At 36.4% G+C, this 22,139-nt stretch overlaps 1 protein-coding gene across 3 annotated transcripts in view; it reads right to left on the bottom strand.

Moving 5' to 3' along the window:
* LNPEP (leucyl and cystinyl aminopeptidase) overlaps positions 1 to 22,139 on the bottom strand; it is a 101,434-nt gene that overhangs the window by 36,409 nt on the left and 42,886 nt on the right. For all 3 annotated transcript variants that reach the window (NM_005575.3, XM_047417177.1, NM_175920.4), the window contains exons 2-8: positions 21,127 to 21,967; positions 15,887 to 16,025; positions 14,435 to 14,566; positions 7,970 to 8,090; positions 7,134 to 7,288; positions 4,602 to 4,715; positions 2,960 to 3,091 (exon numbers count right to left, since the gene is read on the bottom strand). In NM_005575.3, the coding sequence (NP_005566.2) occupies positions 2,960 to 3,091; positions 4,602 to 4,715; positions 7,134 to 7,288; positions 7,970 to 8,090; positions 14,435 to 14,566; positions 15,887 to 16,025; positions 21,127 to 21,967 (1,634 nt within the window). The remainder of the gene's footprint in view (positions 1 to 2,959; positions 3,092 to 4,601; positions 4,716 to 7,133; positions 7,289 to 7,969; positions 8,091 to 14,434; positions 14,567 to 15,886; positions 16,026 to 21,126; positions 21,968 to 22,139) is intronic.

Below are 22,139 nucleotides of genomic sequence, written 5' to 3'. Positions count from 1 at the left end.
GCCATATCACGGTACTTTCCTGATCAAATTGCTTTTCGTTTCACTTAGAATAAAATCAAGGTCCTTACTATGGCTTAGCAGACCCTATAATAATCTGGCCTCTTACAGTCCCTCTAACTTCATCTACTACTTTCTCCTCTGCTTACTCTACTTCAGATAACACTGGATCCTTGCTGGTGCTTGAACATGCAAAGCAACCTTTTATCTCAATCTCGTATCTCTCTCAATCTCATATCTCATGTGGGGGTCCCCAAGACCAGTTCCAGGTTTGATGATGCACTAGAAGGATTCACAGAACTCAGCATATAGTCATACTCACTGCTATGATTTATTACGGTGAAAAGATATGAAGTAAAATCAGCTAAGAAAAAAGATGCATGGGACAAAGTCCAGAGGAAACCAGGCACAAACTTCCAAGTCCTCTCCCAGTGAATCATGCAGGATGCACTTAATTCCTCCAGAAAGTTGTGACAGCATGTGTGAAATGCCATCTACCACGGATGATCATCAGAGATTCAGCACCCAGGCTGTTTACTGTGGGCTAGTCACGAAGGTACCTTCTGCCTAGCACATACCAAAACTCCAGACACCCAGAAGGAAATCACATTTTCAGCATAAACTACATTGTTTAGGCACAGTGAGCCACTCTTATGCAATAGTGGGAAATTTCCCAAAACCCAAGTTCCCACATGCCACCCAAGGGCCAACCTTGCAAGCAGGTCTTTCAAAGAATAGCAGTCTCAGGCCTCCTATATTAATTCTTTTCTGCACACAAGCACTATACATTGGTTATTTCTTCTACCTGGAATATTCTTCCCCAAGAAAACCACATTCCTCATGCCTTAGATGGTGTTCAAATGTCACCATACAGGAGGGCTTCTCAACCACATTATATTATAAACACCATTTCCTTTGTCATTCTCATTTCCCTTATCATGCTTTATTTTCATATTAGCACTTATTACTTAACACAATACCTACTTATTCATTCATTTGTATACAGTCAGTCTCTACCTTTGACCCCTGAAATGGAAACTTCACAAAAGAGACAAAGTCCACCTTGTCCCCTGATATAACCCCAGCACCTAGAACAATGGCTGGTATATGGTTAGTATTTGTAAGATTTGCTAAATGAATGAATTCTTGCAAGGCAACCTGCATCAGAATTAGGCTTGATGATTATAAAGACCAAACAGAATATGTCTGCTAAACGTATTTCCCTGCTGGTGCTTACCTTCTTGCACACAATACTGATAAGTTATCTAGTATCCCACTTCTCTTAATTACACAGAATATTTTTGCCAAATTCCCAATTCTGAAACAAGTAGTTACCATGTTGACAGGGGTTGACAATGATATGGAAACTACATATTCAGAAGACACTGAATTCTGGGTTTAGAGGGTTTGGGTCAGTGGCAGACAGAACTCTGTTATGACTCTGTTCTGTTATTATATAATGAACTTAGAGCATTTTAAGCAGGTTTTCAAATCCTGAAATAACTGCTCTAAGTTTGGTATAATAACAGAACCTCAAGTTTTAAATTTTCTTTATTGACAGGTCCACTATGGTCTTCAAAAATCACACCAGTAGCTCTAATTGGAATAGATTTAATATAGCTAACTGAACTCCTGATTTTCTTGTTTGTTAATAGTACCTGTACAATAATTCTTCTTGTCAGTCAGGTTTGAACCTGAAAAACATTTCTGCCTCTTTCTTTACTGGCCTTACCCTGTCACTAATACTTTAAGTACTTTCCCTGCCCAGTATTTTTTATACCCATTGTTTTCTTTCCACCCTTACTAGCACTCCTCATTTCAAACTTTTACCATTTCATGCCTGGACTTTAGCAGCAATTTCCTGACTTTACGTTTCTCCCCACTTAAATCTACTTTATAAACTGAAACCAAAATACTTTTCCTAAATAGTAACTTTAATCAAGTCATTCCTCTGTTCAAAAGTCTTTTCAAGCTTCCTGTTGCATAGGAAAAAAATAATTCCTTATGGTATCCAGAGCCTTCTACAACTGGGCCCCACTCAACTTTCTCTTCTTTTCCCTCTTCACGTGTGGCTTCCACTGTGGTCAAACACTGACTCTCTGAAAAAACATCACTTGCCCATTAGTACTTCATTTTCTTTGCAGACCTCATTGTTCCATTCCTGCCCTACCCTATACTTCACATTCCTCTTTACCTATATTTTAATTATTTAAGCCAACTCAATTCCCATTTACCTCCCAAAAGTTTCTCTTCCTTATCCTAGGCAAAAATTCTGTCCCACTCAGCACATATTACCTCTCTTATTGCTCCACAAGTACCAACCATCTGAACTTTCAGCTACTTGATGACATAGACTGTATCTCACACATTTTGTGTATTTTCTTCTCTATCTTGTCTGACAGCCATAACATTCATCCCTCCCCACAACATAAATGTGAATGACACCGTTATCACTATTCTTCTATTCTCCGACCTATGGTGATCCGAATGGGGTTTAACATTCTGCTTTTTCTTTACCTTGAAACCCAGGGCGTGTGTTTCAGATTCTAAAATCGAATCTTCAATTCTTAAAATCTCTTTTTGCTTACTTGTTTTGGCAGTCCTGACCTGACAGCATACCTCAATTCTGAGTAACACAGCCAAGAGCTTACTTAGGACCTTCTCTGAACATATTCTACCTGTAGATCTGGAGAGTAAACTGACTTTAAAAGATGCATCGCTATAAGATCTGGTTAATTGTCTGGAATACTAGTCATACAACTTAAGTTAGAGTCAGAGAAAGAAAAAAACCCACAAAAAAGTTATGACCAAGATTTATACAGAAGCAAACATTTTATAGTTTACCATTAATACCTGAAAAACATTTAATCTTTAAAATAATCTAAATCACACAGCTTGCTCACATACGAAATTATACGAAATTTTAAACCCACTCCAGCTACCTTTTTGTTCACAGCAATACCTTAAAATAGGAAAGAGAATCAAACATTTCTTCAATTTGTTCTGAAGACTGAACAGATGATGATATTGGATGAGATGAATTTAAGGAATCTTTCTTCATGGTTTTAAATCGAGCATCTAAGAAATCTTCATACTGTCAAAAAATGAAAAGATTAGAATATCACAAGTAGTATCAAATGCAAAAGTATAGTAAATTATTTATGTGAATTAGACTAATTAGTGTGAAATATCATTAGGAAAAAATGACCAGTGTCACTAAACTTCAGGATATAAGCTTTCAAAAATGTAGGAAGATTGTAAACTTCATGAATATTCCTTAAATTTAAAGATACAATTATAACCTGGCCACATTAAAATTAGCATTTCCTAAACAACAGCATATGGGAAAATTAAGAATCTATTACCAAAGTAAACAAATGCCAACTCTGAGTATCCAAGATGAATATTCTAAAAAGGTTAGCATATATTTTTTTAAATGAAACTTGAAATTTAAAAAGAGAAAGAACAAAAACTGGTCCTTACGCTGATTTCTTATATATAGTCTAGAATTTCTACTAAGAAAATATACATTTCCCTTACCTGAGGTCGGTTTTAAATAAAATGTAACTCTTAAACAGAAATAATTCTTTAAGAGCTCAGCAGATGAGCTCCCCTAGAACATGTATTAGACCTTTTTACACATTCTGGGCACCACCAAGTGGTCAAACTGTGTATCTCATTACTTAATTAAGTAGTATACATGGATTTAGAATATCTTTCTTAGTATTCTAGCTACCACTTGATATTAATTAACATCAATTAATTTCCCCTACCACTTGAAATTTTTCAACAAGCCCTATCTAAAATTTCAAATCAAAAGCTCTTAAGAGTACTTCTGTTTTAAAAGCCATCTTGGATTATAACATCAGGAAGTTTAATAGAAAGTCAAAAAATTTGGGGGTTGGAAGGTATCTTTACACTTTCCCACCTATTGTTTGAATTATCTTGACAATATCTGTCATATCATGGCCTAGTGTGTTTGAATATCCCTAAGTACTGGAAATATTTCCCAAGAGTCTAATACCATAGTGACACCACTATTATACTTCTCTGTACTGAAACGGTATTCCTTGTCTTTGGAAAAAGGCATAAAATGTGGTTTGTACCTTAAAAAGGGCAAATTATTTATTTGTACCAAGCTATATATCACTATCACAAGAATGTACACAGTGATAATAGAGAAACAGTATTGCTATAAAATGTTTTAATTTTTTATCTAATTTTTACACAGGATAAAAAAGTTTAAATTTTACACAGGATAAAAAAATTTTAATTAGACTTTGCAACTTTAAATTCCTGCAAGCAGAAGAACTATAGCTGTTTAAAAGAAAATGTTGCAAAACAATTTAAAATGTTCATCTTAATGACAAAAATATAAAATAATCTTATATAATTTCAGTTTTGAATGAAACACATCAGTAAATAATAGCATCCCTTTCATTGTCAAATCTCAAAAGGTATAGATATCAATAACCAAAGTCAAGTTTGGCATACCTTCCTAGAAACATTTTCATTACTCCAGATGCACAGAAAATACATGAAAATGTGATTTGACTATTTTTCCTCCTAGCATTCATAGTAGGCCAAAGAAACCCTGTACTTACACTAGAAAGCTCTTTGAATATTTTTTCCAAAGAGAAATACTCCATGAAAGTGGCAAAACCTTCATTTAGCCATAGGTCATTCCACCACTTCATTGTTACCAGATTGCCAAACCACTGGGGGGAGAGAAAACAATTAACCCACAGGATATTTACAGCCTCAGGAATTTTTTAAATAATTGGCTGAAGTGTCATATTAATTATCTATAACCTGATTACAATATCTTAAAGATATACTGATACTATAGTTAAAACAAACTATATTCAAATTAATTTAGAACTTACAAAAGTTGTATAAATTTACTTTAAAAATAAAATATAATTTTTAATCTTTTACCTTAACTGAATGGGAAACAAGCAAGAAAGGTTATTAGCATATTTATCAATGTAACAAACATGCAATATAGCATGAATATAGGGAAATAAAAACTTTTTTCGGCCACCTCATAAAGTGAGATTTCCAAGATAATGACATTTTTCTACCTTCTAATATCAAGTTAGTAAGATTATTTTCCATTGTATCTACAACCACCCATGACAACTAAAAAGTCTCTATGTGAGAGATTTTCCTGTAATCAGAAAGCCTATACTTTGTTTCTCCTCAGTTGCCCAAATTGAAGACAGTATATGCATGATTCAAAACAGAATTCAAACAACATTCCTTAAGACTAAGTTGACATATACAGGCTGGGCATCGTGGCTTACACCTGTAATCCCAGTGCTTTAGGAGGGCAAGGCAGGAGGATTGCTTAAGGCCAGGAGTTCAAGCCAGCATGGGCAACATAGAGAGACTCTGTCTCTACAAAAAAATTAAGCCAGGCATGGTGATGTATGCCTGTTGGCCTAGCTACTCGGGAGGATGAGGCGGGAGGATCAGTTGAGCCTAAGAGTTCAAAATTGCAGTGAGCTATGATCATGCCACTGCATTCCAGCCTGGGTGACAGAGTGAGATCTTGTTTCTTTAAAAACAAAAAAAAAAAGATGGCATATATAAACAAATGAAGTCAGAAAGAGCTTTAAATATTTTCTTCTATGAGGTAGTAAAAAGAAAAGAAAAAGGAAAAAAATAATAGGAGATTCTCCTTAAAAAATGTATCTAAAAAAATCCTTGAAATGAAAAGTAGTTGTAAAATATGTAATTTGGTCAGTGTGGTCTTGGGCTTATCTCAAATCAGCAGCGAAAGGACGAGGTTACTGCATAAAACAAAACACCTTTGAGAATTACAATAACATTTTTCTAAGATATTATTTTAAAACCTGTTTCAGAGGAAGATGATTTCTAAGTCCTAAAGAGGAAATAACAGAGAAATACTCCCAAATGGTGATGGGTGGCTTCAGAAATAACAGACCTAGAGGAGATCCCCCAAAAGACATCTTATCTATATGACCTATTTTTTTTTGAGATGGAGTTTCACTCTGTTGTCAGGCGGGAGTGCACTGGTGCAAACTCGGCTCACTGCAACATCTGCCTCCTGGGTTCAAGTGATTCTTTTGCCTCGGCCTCCCAAGTAACTAGGATTACAGGCATGCACCACCACGCCCAGCTAATTTTTGTATTTTTAGTAGAGACGGGGTTTCACCATGTTGGCCAGGATGGTCTTGATCTCCTGACCTTGTGATACGCCTGCCTCCGCCTCTCAAAGTGCTGAGATTACAGGCGTGAGCCACTGCATCTGGCCCATGCCCTATTTTTAAAGCAAATGAGAATGTGCTCATATGCCAGCTTGTCATGAAGTCTTCACAAAGGCTAGATTCATATAAGGTGTTTGATGTAGAAAATAAGCTGACCAGAATACATCCTATTCATATCCTGCCACTGTCATGACATCACCCAAACCATACCCAATGCTAGTTAAGCACCTCATCTAGGGCAAAATAGAGACAAGGTGTTAGGGAAGAATGGGGGTGTTATGTACCCATATAATTTTCTTTCTTTCTCTCCATGTCATACAAACAGTACCCTTTGCCATTTTCTCAGAAACCCCCTCTCCAAAATTAACAGAGAACCCCATTCCGGCAGGAGATGAAAAAAAAAAAAAAATCCAGCCCTGACAGCTACAGTTTGAGTTGTCAGAAGGGTGCAACTTAGGGAAAGAGATTCTTCCCCACAAAGTTATACTGGGCAATGGGCATTTGTCATAGGTGATGCAGCTGTGTATTACTGAGGGGGAAAAAGAGATCTTGAAGAGATAGTGGCTCTTCATGGCCCAGTGCTGCCACTTATTAGCTGTATGACTTATGGCAAGCCATTTATTTAAACTGAGTCTCAGTTTTCACATATGTAAAATGTGATTAATACCCACCTTAGAGAAGTTGCGAAGTAAGACAGATGTGAAAATGCTTTAACCTGTAAAGTCAAACATCTGATAGCATTTTCATTTGAAAATGAAGTTTGTGTTTAAAAAGCATCTTTCTATTATAAAAGAAGGCAATGCTTAAAAAAAAAAAGAATTATTAGCATCTAAATGCTAACAATAACTCCAGGACATGAAGTAGACCACAGGTGTGACACAGAACAGCCTTGGTTGCTAATACCTGGTGGGCCAGCTCATGAGCAATGATTTTAGTCACCAGCTTTCTATCCGCCATTGAAGAAGTGTTACTGTCATACAGAAGTGTCTCCTCTCGGAAGGTGAGCAAACCCCAATTTTCCATTGCTCCTGCTTCAAAGTCAGGAATAGCCACCAAATCTGGACATAACAGGAAATAAGTGATCAACTTTCCCTCATCTTAGGCATTTTCTACTCAAAGTATTTTATTCAATGGTTTATCACTGTGAAAGCAATGAATTCTTTTTATACTCACAATAAATGGAATCTTCCTTATTCTAGCTCTGTATGCTCTCTACCCACATGTCAGCTGAGGAAGACCTGTTCAAACCCTTTTAGAGTCACTGTTCCACTGTCCCTTAGTGAAGAAAGAGATGCCTAATTCCTTTACAATCAATCAGCTTCCCAGAGCAAGAAGGACAAAGTTCACGGCCAATACTCTACTCTCTAGGACTAGCTCCATGTTGAACAGCACTGAAATGTTCTTGCTTTCCTGAGCTCCCGTTACTCAGTTTTTATTATTTAAATAGGGTATTTCTTGGAAGTTAGAATTAGTCAAATTGCAGACTAAGCCATAAGCAAATTCCCACTTATACAGCACCTTTTTAGCAGCCCTATAAACTTAAGTGTTTTAAGCTCCAACTTCAGATATATTCATGAAATCTAAATAATCTTAACAAATACAAACAATTTTTAAAGCATTAATAATGGTTTTTGGTTTTCTCTGCAAACAACTTGGGCAGAACCTCTTTCTAAAAAAATTCACAAAATAAATCTAGGTTCTAATTATAACAAAAATCAGACACACTATTTGATTCTTACCCAATTTCTTAAGTGGGTACTGAATTTCAAAGTAGTTTTGAAAAAACTCAAGAAGCTTCACAGTTGTTTCCAAGGCATAATGAACTTGACCAATCTTTTCTGGTACAGCATATATAGAAACCTAAAGGAAAACATTATGTATGATGCAAGGACAGGTACAATTAAAATGGCATGATACTCAAGTAGCACTGTCAAGACTAGCATATCTGAAAATTCTATAGAATTGTATGAGATCCTTCTGGATAGAAACACTTGCTTATGGTTACTTTAGTCCCAACAGAGTTTACCAAGTCCCTTCCACACATACAACATTGTTGAAAGACTTACTGATTCCAACCCCGCCCCACCCCCGCCCCGCTTTTTTTTAAGCTAGCAACATCCAAAATAACTACTTTAGGTCATCTTATAGCAACTTATAAGTATTTGCCTATTTAATTTTATGATACTCTTCTCTTTCTCTCCCATTACCTGTAGCTGCCCTTCCTTACTTATGAGGTAAAAAGATTGAGAGTTATTTGAAAGACAAAACTAAATTTTCATCCTTTCAGGACCTCACCGTGCCTGGCATCTAGCAGGCACTCAACACTGAGGAGTCACATCTTATGATGGAGTTAGTTCTAAAGTTAACATATAAGGCATAAATTGCATATTTGTTGAAATTATCCTAGAAAAACCAATTATAGACCAACATATTCTCTTCCAGTAAGTATGGCACAGCCAGTTTTTCTTCCAATGCTGCGGACAGCTAACTTTTTTTTCAGTTGTTGGCTTGTTTTTAAGGGTCATGTTGTAAAAATAAATATATTATACAGAGAAACACTTGTTTTATGAGTTGTACACAGAACTAAAACCAACCAAGGGAACAACAGGTTCATGTCTCCCACTGCCCATTCACTCCCGGGTACATACTAAGAGACAAGGCAGATGGAATCATCCTTATTATTAAATTGCAATTCTTGCTCACTCTCTCTTTTTTTGGCTAAATGAATAAATTAAACATATATGATGCGACAAACTATAAACATTTTATTCAGGAAGTATCAAAAGGCAAGTGTTAAACAGCCATGTTCAAAGCAATGGGTTTTACAAAACAGTATTTATTTTTTTCTAATTGATTTTAAAAAGCCCTCTATACTCACCTGGAAAAGTGGGATGTAGATTAGACACAGTAGAAAATAAAAACCTCAAAATGAAGATCTCAACAGGTGGAAAATGGAAACTTTTTGAACAATTCATAATTTGGAAAAAGCACATTGGTGAACTCTTAACTCCAATTTTAGTTTCTCATTATGATTTTAAAACTGTCAACAATTTCTCAAAGCAAAAACATAAAGTGGGGAAAGGACATCTTATTCAACAATCAGCAGAGTGAACAGACAACCCACAAAGTGGGAGAAAATCTTCATAATCTATACATCTGACAAAGGCTAATATCTAGAATCTAAAAGGAACTCAAACAAATCAGCAAGAAAATAAAACAATCCCATCAAAAAATAGGCTAAGGACATGAAAAGACAATTCTCCAAAGAAGATATATAAATAGACAACAAGCATTTGGAAAAATGCTCAACATCACTAATGATCAGCAAAATGCAAATCAAAACCACAAAGCGATACCACCTTACTCCTGGTAAAAATGGCCATAACCAAAAAAAATCAGAAAATAATAGATGTTAGCGTAGATGTGGTGAAAAAGGAACACCTTTACACTGCTGGTGGGAATGTAAACTAGTACAACCACTATAGAAAACAGTGTGGAGATTCCTTCAAGAACTAAAAGTAGAGGAATCATTTGATTTGTCAGTCCCACTACTGGGATTGATCAATGAGTGGATAAATAAATTGTGATATATATACATACCATGGAATACTACTCAGCCATAGAAAGGAATGAAATAATGGCAATCGCAGCAACCTGGATGGAATTGGGGACGATTATTCTAAGTAAAGTAACTCAGGAATGGAAAACCAGACATCGTATGTATGTTCTCACTCATAAGTGGGAGCTAAGCTATGAGGATGCAAAGGCATAAGAATGATACAATGGACTTTGGGAACATGGAGGAAAGGGTGGGAGGGGAGTGAGGGATAAAAGATTACACATTGGGTGCAGTCTACACTGCTTGGGTGATGGGTGCACCAAAATCTCAGAAATCACCACTAAAGAACTTATCCATATAACCGAACACCACCTGTTCCCCAAAAACCTCTTAAAATAAAGCAAAAAACTGTCAACAATTTCTAAGAGGTCAAATAGGTTTCAACCATATTGTCTTTATGTGAGGCTTCAGTCTATAGAACATATGCATTAATCATAGAAATATGGAGGTGGCATAAAAATTAAACAATATAGAATGTTTAAGTAAATGAACAAAAAATGAAATATATAGGCTCTGTATTTACAGTGCTGGGGTTCAAATCTCTGCTATCTGTATGACCTTAAGCAGGCTAGTTAACCTTACTTTCCTTATCCATAAAATGGGGATAAAAGTGGCTCCTACCCTCACAGAGTTGCTGTGAGGATTAAGCTAATACATGTATAGAACTTAGATTAGTGCGTGACACAATGTCTAAGTGTTCAATAAATGGTAGTTATTGTTATTACAAATAGACTCCCATCGGAATTGAGGCAAAATATGTGTGAACAGAATATTTGTGGTTACTACTGGAAGAATTATATGTATAGAACTGGAGTTAACCAATTAAAAATATGTAGCTTTCTAAAGTAACAAGGGAAGAAATTTATTCTCCCATATTATGTAGCCAACCGTACTTCATTAGCCCAGCCTTCTAACACCTGAAGCCCTTGATACAGGACTGTGACCACAGCTTACTGAATTCAGTCACCGCCTACAAGCTGATCCTACTTACTGCATTTCCTGCATCTTTCCCCTACAGAAGTCAGTTTTAATATACACACACACACGCACGTGCACCTGACATACAATTTTTAAATCTTCAGCTATCATTATAAATAACTGTAACAAGATCAATAGAATTTAAGACAAGTCTTTATTAGCTGTACCTATTCTTTCCAGACAAACATATCTTGTGTTACAGTTGCCTCAATAATCTAGAAGATGGTACCCCAATAGAAACATCACTCATACCTCCAGATTACTCCTAAAACATTCTTCTGCCACACACACCATTTGGCAACTCCCATCACTGAGCACCTTTCCTTAGAGGACAAGCCAGGAGAAAAAGTTCACATGAAACTGAACTTTGACCAAAGGGTCCACTTATTCCCATCTCTGGAATACAATGATTAGGAAAAAATGTAGTTTAATACTTTCTCTTCCTTTCTACTTCTTTTTCTTTTCCTTAAAAGAACATCTGTAATGAGTTCTTACGAGAGATAAATAATCTGGTCATTACAATTATTATAAAGCTTTTCTAAGAGCAACAGATGCAGTAAGAAATAGAGAGAGCAACATAGCTCAGCAAAGAAAGTCTTGAACAGCATTCTGGACTTGGTAAGAGTACTCTAAACATTGTTAAATAAAAGTCAATCGGCACTCAGGCCTTAAAACTTACAACCTGAAACTTTTCTTGACAGATCTCTTTCAAAGATCTTATAGGAGATTTCTAAAAACACAACTAGAAAGATCCCTGATCAGCTCTCAAAGAAGGTTAACACTGAGCAATAACAGATTTAAGATTTGCTCTATTTCTTACTTAATATATAATAATATATATAAATATATAATATATAATTATATATTATATATAATATATAATATATTGTATATAATATATAATATATAATTATATATAATATATAATATATTATATATTATATATAATTATATATTATATATAATATACAATATATTATATATAAATTATATATTATATAATATATATATCATATATACACAAATATTATACACTTACACACACACATATATATATATACTGAGAAAGGATGAGAGCAGTCTACTTAAGGGCCCATAGCTAGTAAGCTGTCTAGGAGGGATTTCAACCCAATTAGACTCCAGAGTCTATGTTTAACCATGTTGTTTCCTAATACAGGAATAAAAAGCAAAAAAGAAAACATAGTCATCTAAAACTTCTCTATCTCTTCCTCTTTCCACACACATACACACAAGCATGCACATGCACACACATATATGAGAATGCAGTGTGTATGTGGGCAATGAATAATTCAGCTTGCCTAGATGAAAGAATTCATAATGAGGCAATTAGAAATATAGCTGAATTTGCCAGAAGTATGGTTTAAACCTGTAATCTCAGCACTTTGGGAGGTTGAGGCAGGAGGATTGCTTGAGCCCAGGAGTTTAAGCTGGCCTGAGCAACATAGCAAGATGCCTCTACAAAAAATTAAAAAAACAAAACAAAACACCTAGCCAAGTATGGTGGCAGGTGCCTGTCTGTAGTCCCAATGACTTGGGAGAGAATCACTTGAGCCCAGAACTTTAATGTTACGGTGAGCTATGATTGCACCATGTACTCCAGCCTGGGTGGCAGAGTGAGACCCTGTCACTAAAAAAATTTTTAAAAAAGATCCCAGCACTTTGGGAGGCTGAGGCGGGCGGATCACAAGGTCAGGAGTTAGAGACCAGCAGGCCAAATAATGAAACCTCATCTCTACCAAAAATACAAAAAATTAGCCGGGCGTGGTGGAGGGCACCTGTAATCCCAGCTGCTCAGGAGGCTGAGGCAGGAGAATTGCTTGAACCCGGGAGGCAGAGGTTGTGGTGAACCGAAATTGTGCCACTTGTACTCCACCCCAGGCGACAGTGCGAGACTCTGTCTCAAAAAAAAAAAAAAAAGAAAAGAAAAAGAAAAAAGAAAGATCAGTGTGCAGATGGGTGGAAAAAATAAATTTTAAACAAGAAAAGAAATATTGCTGAATTTATAAGGAAGGCCTTGATTATCAAATGATGAATCTGAATGTAATCCTACAGGTAGTGTGAAGCAAACACAGCAGATGAGAGAAAGGGGGAAAAAGGAAGAGAGAGAGTGAAGAGGAAGGAAGAAAAGAAGGGGGGAAAATGCCAAGACTGCATACATTTTGGGATACATAAAAAGTGCTGGGGGTTTTATACCAATGAGTATTAAGAACTACAAAAAAGAGATAATTAAAGTGCTATGAAAGATCAGAGAGGGAATGATTAATTCCAGCTGGGGAAAGAAAGAAATGCTTCATGGAGAACGTAGTATTCAGCTGAGTCTTGAAGCAGCAGCAAACCTGACTCTTTTAGATTGGGCTTCTTAGGCTTTATCAAGGCTGCAAACTCTAAATCAAAGGCTAAATATGTAGTGCAACACCTGAAGTGGAATTAATTGAATTATTTCAGATTTAAGCCAGTTATAATATCCTTTTGAAAGGATTCTGAAAAATCCTTGACATAAAGTCTTTCAATCCAAAGGTGAGTGAACCATTATTTAGCGCTTAATATTACAGTCTACACTTACCATTAAAAACTTAGTTTACTTTTTGAGTAGCATCATTAAAGGCATACAGTATTATTACTGATAAATCACCAGAGAATCCTTATCTCTGTCCTTATCTCTGAAAGGTATGGGATAGACGTGATAGTCTTTTCTAATAGGAAACATATACCCTTTTGAAGTAGCAAAATGATAAGATCCAAGTATCCTGTGATTAATATAAAGCTCTTTAGTCTAGAAAGGAAACCCAAAACTAGCAGTATATTCCCTGGTAGAGCTCAAAAATACGAAAACAGAAACTAAGACATTCTATCATATTTCTATCATCAAGAATAATTGTTTTTAGTTTAATAAATATGATAGAATGCCTTTTCTCCTTCTATGTTGTCAGTATTTGAAAAAATTAACTTTATTAGGTTTCTACTATGAAATCAAAGTATAAAGTCCAATCAAATAATCATTTACAAACAGGTACAAATGATAAAGAAAAACAGAAGAGTCTAATTTTGGCAAAATACAGATAAACCAGACCCTTAACTAAATAGACAATCTTATTCATTAGGAAGAGGAATCTCATCAGGATTTGCTTTGAAAAAAGGGAGGACTCATCTAATTTTTACAACCTAGAGCTATCGAATATGTAGCCACTAGTCACATGAACACTGCTGAACACTTGAAATATGGTTAGTGAGACTGAGGAAGTGAATTTTAAATTGTATTTAATTTTTATTTATTTAAATCTAAATATTCCCCCTAAGGCTAGTGGCTACCACTCAGTTCTAAAAGCTTTAGTATACATATAGTGTCTTACTAAAATTCTCTTTAAAAGTAAAATTTTTTAAAACTTGAAAATTATTGACTTTCAGCTATTAAACTAGTAACAGTAAATAACAGCTAAGCAAAAAAGTAGCATTTCTGGTATAAAATGTCAGAGTGTGATCTAAAAGCTTATTTATTTCACACAGCAAATACCAGGAATCGTTAAAGCAAGAGGTCCTCTGAGCCTCTTGTGACACAGGCTTTCAGACAATTACCACATCAACATACCAGGGTTCCATTTACGTCCTGACTCAGGTTCTTCATCTCTCCCACAATGAAAGCAACCAAGTAAGTGCTCATCTTCACACTCTCAGAAAACTCATCCTGAACAAGTCCATCATCTAGAACGACTGATGACTTCTACAAGCAAAGGGGAAAAGACAGTTCTGTAACTATAGGAATAAATGGCAATAACAAACAAACTGAGAAACTGAAAATTCAAATAGGAAATAAATGGTAAAGATGCTAGCATATTATAACCTCTCAGTATGAATTTCTGCAAAGAGCATGGCTCCTAGTCTCAGTCTGTTGTACCATCCTTCATCCTGAGGACATATGGAGCACAGTGAAACTCCTCAAGGAGTTTTTAGTCCCAAAGATGACCAAATAAATGTTAAGTTAAAGATAGTCACATTGGTTCTGCTTCTCCCATTAGAACACCTCCAAAACCAAAATCCTTCCTTATGACCTGGGATTGCTCCACTCTACTGCTACAAATACATCCACAGAAGGAGCTCTAGCTGCGACATCCCTTCAAATGATCTGAAATGGCTTCATGGGGTGCCATGTTGAGGACCCCCAAGAAAGCTTAGTGGGAACAAAGTCAGTAGTAAGTCATTAGAGAAGTCTGCAGCAGACACAAAATGAGGGAATGTAGGCAACCTTATAGAATTTTCCAACCACAAATTAAAGTAGGCATCTGCCTCTTTAGAGAAAGATGAAGGTGAAGAGTATGGCTGAGTGTGCAGAGTAAGCTGGTACAGTGCTGTCTTGTTACAGATTATGCTCTCTGCTGCCTACAGGATTGGCTCCATAGCCTGCTGGGTATGGCTGCTGCTCCTCTCCCTTAGCCACATGGGTCCAGGAGGCTCCTATCAAGCTGCACAGTCCCTCAGGTGTCTAAGACCAAAAAAAAAAAAACAAAAAAAGACCCCCTAGGCTCCAGGTTTTGTTTGGCATAAAAACAATTATTGGTTTCACCCTCACTGCATCCCACACAGAGCTAACATCTAAGAAAGAGGCTCCTGTTCTAGTTGTCAATCTCCATATTATAACAATATTGGTTTTTCATTTACCAATAAAACACCAAAAAGAGTTATTATTCAACACTCTCAAATAACAGTTTAGAATAGCAAATTCATCCTGTCTCAGAAAATATTACTCTAATCTTTTGCTAGTTCATTGTATTAATATTTGCACAACTTAATATACAATGCACACTCACATTTCCTATCCACACATTCCAAGTCCAGCAGGTCTTTCTCTTTCCTCAAGTCCTCCTCAAGGTGACTTCCCAACTGATGCCAATATATTTTAATTTTTATTTAAGTATTTTAAGGAAGAATATTAATGTATATGATTTTAATCATTCTCAACTGTAGTCTGGCAAAGAGGAATTTAAGTGTTCTTAAAGAAAGAGACCCATTCAAAGATTTTTACATTCAAGGAACAGAACAGTACCTTAGGCATATTTGATAAAGCGGTGTATTGCTCATCCCTTATGATCTTGATGATAAAAGTGGCTTTAAATGCTGGTTCATCAAAACAAGGAAAAGCAGATCTTGCTGCCAGGGGTTCAAACTGAGTTGCTGCAAAGTACCTAAAACAAACACAAATTCAATCCAGTAGTTACTGAGCACCTACTGTACAAGGCACCCTGCCAAGTATACTAAGATAAATATGTTACAATCCTAGTTACTAAAGGATCTGCAATAAACTGGGAAAGGCAGAGGTTTATACAATGAACAGAAACTTACATCAGGCTGTAAGTCATGTCCTAACAATGAAAATAAAGCAATGGGAACAAAGGGAAGGAAACAAATTCTGACTAGAGGTTGAAGATATTATAAGGAAACATGCAGAAAACCTGAAGAGGGCCTAAAAAGATGAGTATTTGAAAAGGTGAAGAAGGGAAGAAAGTATACTCTGGAAAGAGTGGGTAACACAAGTGTGGCAAGCCAGATCTCACTAACGCAGGCCTCCATAACAACTGTTTCAGTACTGGCTGAGTGGTTAAGTTAAATATTAAAAGCCAGTGCCCTTATACAAAGGCTGGAATTTAACAAAAGCCCACCAAGAGTTTTGCCTGGGTCTTAAAGCATGACAAAATAATGAAGGAATTTTTAACAGGACCCATTTAGGATTAAATAAGTTTTATTGGAGGGTCTGAAGAAACTCCCCAGGCCTCCACAAACAATTACTGGAGGTCTGAAGGAACTCCCCAAACCTCCGTGATTTAGCAGGAGACAACATAAGGGTAATCACCCCAGCACCTGGACCCATTTAGATTAAGTAAATTTACTGAGGCTCAAGAGGAAGGTCTTCAAGACTCGGACCTTAGTTATGGATTAAAAGAAGTTAATCACTTATGTCTTTAGAGAAATGCACACTTACACGTAAACATATAGTTTAGAAGGTATATAAGCTCTGGAAAACTTTGTAATTTTGAGTTGTTCTGGCAATAATTTCCAGGCCTTCTCCCTATATAACTGGTTATAGAAATAAAAAGTCTCTTCCCAGTTCATCTGCATCTCGTTTTGGGGCAGCAAAAAATAGCAGCCTGACCCTCAGTTTGGTCCGGGAACACAAGAGAGCAGTGCATGTGCAGAAACTGGGGGTGGCTGTCCAGTGTGGCTGGAGATGAAGCCACAAAGGTAGGCTGCAACTGGCCACTGAGGTCTTAAAAAGGTTTCTGATGGAAGATTATTAAGAAGGGTGGTCATTAATTGCTGCGAATTATCTGTACAGACTCTGGCTTCACGATACCAAACCTCAAATTCACAGCTTGCATTTTCATGAAGATTGAAAAAATTAGGTGTCCTGTAGTATTCTGGTTTCCTTTACTCGCCTCAGAGATTAAAAAAAATTTCCTCCTCTTTCTGTAGCACACCAACAACAGTTGAGAATATGACACAGAAAAATCCTCAATTACAGTCCAGGCCAGGTGGCTCACGCCTGAAATCCCAGCACTTTGGGAGGCCAAGGTGGGCGGATCACTTGAGATCAGGAGTTTGAGACCAGCCTGGCCAACATGGTGAAACCTCATCTCTACTTAAAAATATAAAAATTAGCCAGGCATGGTAGCACATGCCTGTAATCCCAGCTACTCAGGAGACAGAGGCAGGAGAATCGCTTGCACCTGGGAGGCAGAGGCTGCAGTCAGCCAAGATTGCACCACTGCACTCCAACCTGGGCGACAGAGCAAGATGCTGTCTCAAGGGAAAAAAAAAGAAAAGTCCTCGATTACAGGTTGGTGGAAAAGCATAAAAAGAAACAAGGAGAAATGCAGATTTTCAGTTAAGTAAAAGAATAACTAGATCTGAACTTGGGAGATCATCCCAGCGTGGCTATAATCACGGCAAATATATGGCCCTGGTGTGCATATTTCAGGTACCAATCAATATAGCACATATACAACCACCACTTGGAGGTGGTAGCCTCTCTCATTTTGGGCTTAGTTTCCACTACTAGAAGATAAGGAGAAAAGAAAGAGTATGAGATTTGGAGTCAGAAGACCCAGACTCTATAATTTACTAACCACATGACTTTGGGCAAATCAGTAACCTACATCTCATACATCTCAATGTCCTTACATCTCATACATCCCAACGTCCTTAATAGTTAAATTAGGACTGAGATAGAATCCACTGCCAAACACCAGGGTTTTTGTTAGAATCAAATAAAAATATTTATAATAAAAACGACTTGTATACCATATGGTCCTAAAGATTAGGATTTTTGTTAGAATCAAATAAAACTATTTATAATAAAAACTACTTGTATATCATATGGTCCTAAATAGATATTTATTACAAATGCAAGATAGTCCTAACTTCTTCCACACTTAAAATTTGTGTACTTTTTTTGTTTTGTATTCTTTTGTTTTTGCTTTTTTTCTGTTAAGGATGTGTGCCCAAATAACTGTTGCTATCGAATTGGGTAAACTGCAAGAAAGGTAGCAATCAACATACATGAAACAATTTACACATATTATGTTTCTAACATTTCATTTCTTCAACCCACCCCCAACATTCTTATGTAGTTAACAGAAGATTTTGGAAGAGAAGCATAAGGGACCAGGGAATAAAGTTTGATGTTATCCCTACTATTCATACAAGAGAGACCCACCACTTTTGGATAAAAATTAGATCATAACACACTAAGGCGAAAAAGCCTTAAACTGTTGTTAAGAGATCCAATCATAACTATCTCACATAAAAATCCCTTTGAGAAGGCTGCTGCTTGATAATACTTATAACCTGTTCTATCTATGCTGAATAACTTGAAGCTTATTCTTTCACTGGAGAGTATATTTCCTTTCTGAAATACTAAAGTTGAACACTTTATCAAGTAGTGTTCAAGACAATTACAAATTAACTGGGGATAAGAGAATTTCAAACACTGGAGATAACAATGTACAAAGGAAAGCAAGTATGAACTAGAGAGGCAGTGCACCATGGTGGTGAAGAATGTGGCTTCTGCAGTTAAAATGACCTTGAGTTTGAGTTCTCCCTCTGCTATCTGCTTGCCATGAGATGCTGGATAAGTTACTTTATGTGCCTCTGCTCCCTTAGCTGTAAAATGAATATAATGTTAACATCTATCTCTTAGTGAGTTTGACAGAATAAAAGACTAAACACGTAAGAGGCTTGGAACAGTTTCCAGCCCTTCAGTTCCAGGTGAATACTGGCTATTATTATCATCAGAAAGTTCACCATGGCAGGTGAGAACTATGAGAAAGAAAAAACAAGGGTAGATCAAAAACGGTCTTGAATTAAATTCTGTTAGAAACGAGGAACTGCTGAAACACATCCCTATCCTGAATTTGTTTACTAGTTCTTAGTATCAGTTTGTTATCTAGGACTTTAAGCCTATCATAAACAACTTTGAGATTTAACTCCAAGGTTACTGACTGTCTCTGTCTCTTAGATCACATGGGTAAAGGTAAGTTCCCTTACAACAAGCAGTGTCTACGCAAGGTGTCTGACGTTTACATACAATGGTTTTCCAATCAACAAGAAATATGTTCTTAGTATGCAAACAGACTTTTAGGACATGTGCCCTAGCCATCTCTTCCCATCAGAATATTGACCCTGGAATCCTTGTACTCGTTAACTATTTAATGGGAGGAATAAATACAGCAGAGTAAGGTGATTTTTGGTACGGCCACTTGTTGACTCTTGCCATGGGCTGGATTGAGTTGTGGAAAATGTCAGAAAAATGAAATATGTTTCTTTAAGATTAAGAAATAGAGTATTATAAAACAGTATTTTACAACCTATTAAAATAAATTAGTACGTGAAACTCTGCTATTCAAAACAAAATAAAAGTATCAGTAAAATGAATCCCCCAAGTGATAGTATATCTTGATTCCAGGTAAATGTTTAGATTATTTATACCTTTCAAGATGTCTGAAAACTATAATTCAAAGCCATTTTTTTGTCTTTCTCTCTTTTAATTTTGCTTAGTTCTATTAGAGAAGCTTTTATAAATTTTTCTTCTCTGAGGTATGATTAGAATACATATTTATACTGGTAGATAAAGTAATTAAGGGATGTATTTCTTGTTTTTACACATAGCTTACATTTCCTGGGGATAATAGGCATTATAGAAGGAGAACTAAAGGCAAGAACTTTCAAGTTCCCATTGCAATTATACATTTGTGTTCAATCCCAGATCTCACGCAAGAATTGAAATGCAGGGCCAGTATGCCATTTATTTTAAAAGTATTACATAGAGGGAAAATAAAATAAAAATTATTTATCTGAATAGAATTATGGATCTTGCTTGGTCTCTTTCTCCATTTAAGAAGGATCAAAAAGTTTCCTTTAGATGTAGAATACTCATTTCTAACTATTTCTCTTAATATGTCAACATACATTAGCCAAATGGTCAGCATCAGTAATTCACATATTGTTTTACAGAGTAATATGAGAGAATGTTCCAATTGCATAAAGCAGATGTCGTGAGGATTTTGTGCACAAGACAACTGATATCACTGCTACTTAAGAATAACCTCCATACTGTGTGAACTCCATCTTCCCAGAATTTCAAACTACATGCTATGAATGCTAAGATTAAAGTACTAAATATATAGTCCAAATAGGGAGCTGAATAATTTTATATTTTGTCTCACCTTTTTTTCTGAACCAAATTAAGTCTCTCCTAGACCTTAAAAAAAATTTACACCAGAAATCCAAAATAGACTGGCATTTTAAAAAATAATAAACCAGTAAAGATTAAGGATATTAAAAATGATATATGTAAGCACACCACACTTCACACTTCTTCATGCCCTCTTTCTGTATTTCACTAAGTACCTCCTAAAAGTTCTGCACATTAGGAAAATAGGTCTTAAAGAATAACTCCTCTTTACTCTGCTTCCCAACAGACTTCATGAGGTGACAGAAAACTAGATTCACCTTAAAAATGTGAAAAACTCAAGATAACAAGTTTTGGATATAATCTTTATCCATCCTTTTCCACCAGCACACCCCTATCTCCACCCCACCATGATATATGCTCAAGGCGTTGACTAAGAGAGATAATATATTGTTCTAAATCACCATTCTACTATTTTGTATATAACTTCCTAAATTAAAAAAAAAAATCACAATTCGTGTCTCTGGTGTGGACAAAGGGATCTATATTGCAGAAGTTATCAGAGCGTAAAACCAGAATCATTTAAGAGGGCTACCTACTTTTTCTCATTACTTTCATCTGTGTAGGAGAAGCCATAAAACCCATAATAAGAACTAGATATATTTGCCGAGTACTCTATCTTCAACGTATAATTGTGCCCTGCTAGAAGGGCTTCGGGGGCAACAATGGCGATCTGTCCATGATATGCATATTCCAGGATCTCAGCTTGTTTTTCTTGGCTTGAAACTGCTGACATAAAGGTCACTCTTGAAATATTATGACCTGTGCTATGAAGAATGATATTCCATGTGACCTGAAGAGCCTGAACTGAAATTGTCACAGAACCCCTGAATGTCATCGAGGTTAGGTTCGGGTGTAGGCTGAGTTCATAGCGTAGTGGCACAACGGCAGTGGGAAGCCTGATCTGTGCCCATGGAAACAATTTCCCATTTGTTGCAAATGGCTGAATTAGTCCAATTGACTGGTTTTTTTTATGGCAGCCTTCTTTGGTAAAGGTACATCTGGGCAGTAAGTAAATCACCATGATTACAGAAACAGCAACCACGATGACAAAAGCACAGACCACCATGGTCCTTGCAGAGGGTACTGAACAAGCCCCATCTGGGCTCTGCCTGTAACCAGTTGCACTGTTCCGAAGGCCTGAGCTTCTATTCATGAAGGACATGCCCAGCAGCTTTGCTGATGACTCATAATCCTCTTCATCCTCCTCCATCTCATGCTCACCAAGACCCCGCACCAGCAGTCGGGAACCCCGGGGCTCATATTCCACCTCATCAGGCTCTAGAGGATGTAAACAAGGCTCTTTGGCTAAATCCACCACATCTGGTTCTTCCTCAAACATGCTGTTTTCAATCATATTCCTGGGGAGCTGAAGCCGATCTAAAAAACCAAAACATAAGAACAAGGCACAGAGTTAGAAAAAAAAAAGCTCATAATATTAATAACATGTCTTCTACCTAGACCACATTTAAACTAAGAATTTTTTTAAGTCACTAAGACTTATTTCCATCTCAGAGCTACTGAATTAAATAAGATGTTTATACCATTGAGT

This window comes from Homo sapiens, chromosome 5 (assembly GCF_000001405.40).
Source record: "Homo sapiens chromosome 5, GRCh38.p14 Primary Assembly".
Taxonomy (NCBI): domain Eukaryota; kingdom Metazoa; phylum Chordata; class Mammalia; order Primates; family Hominidae; genus Homo; species Homo sapiens.
This window is presented reverse-complemented; position numbering and strand designations above follow the sequence as displayed.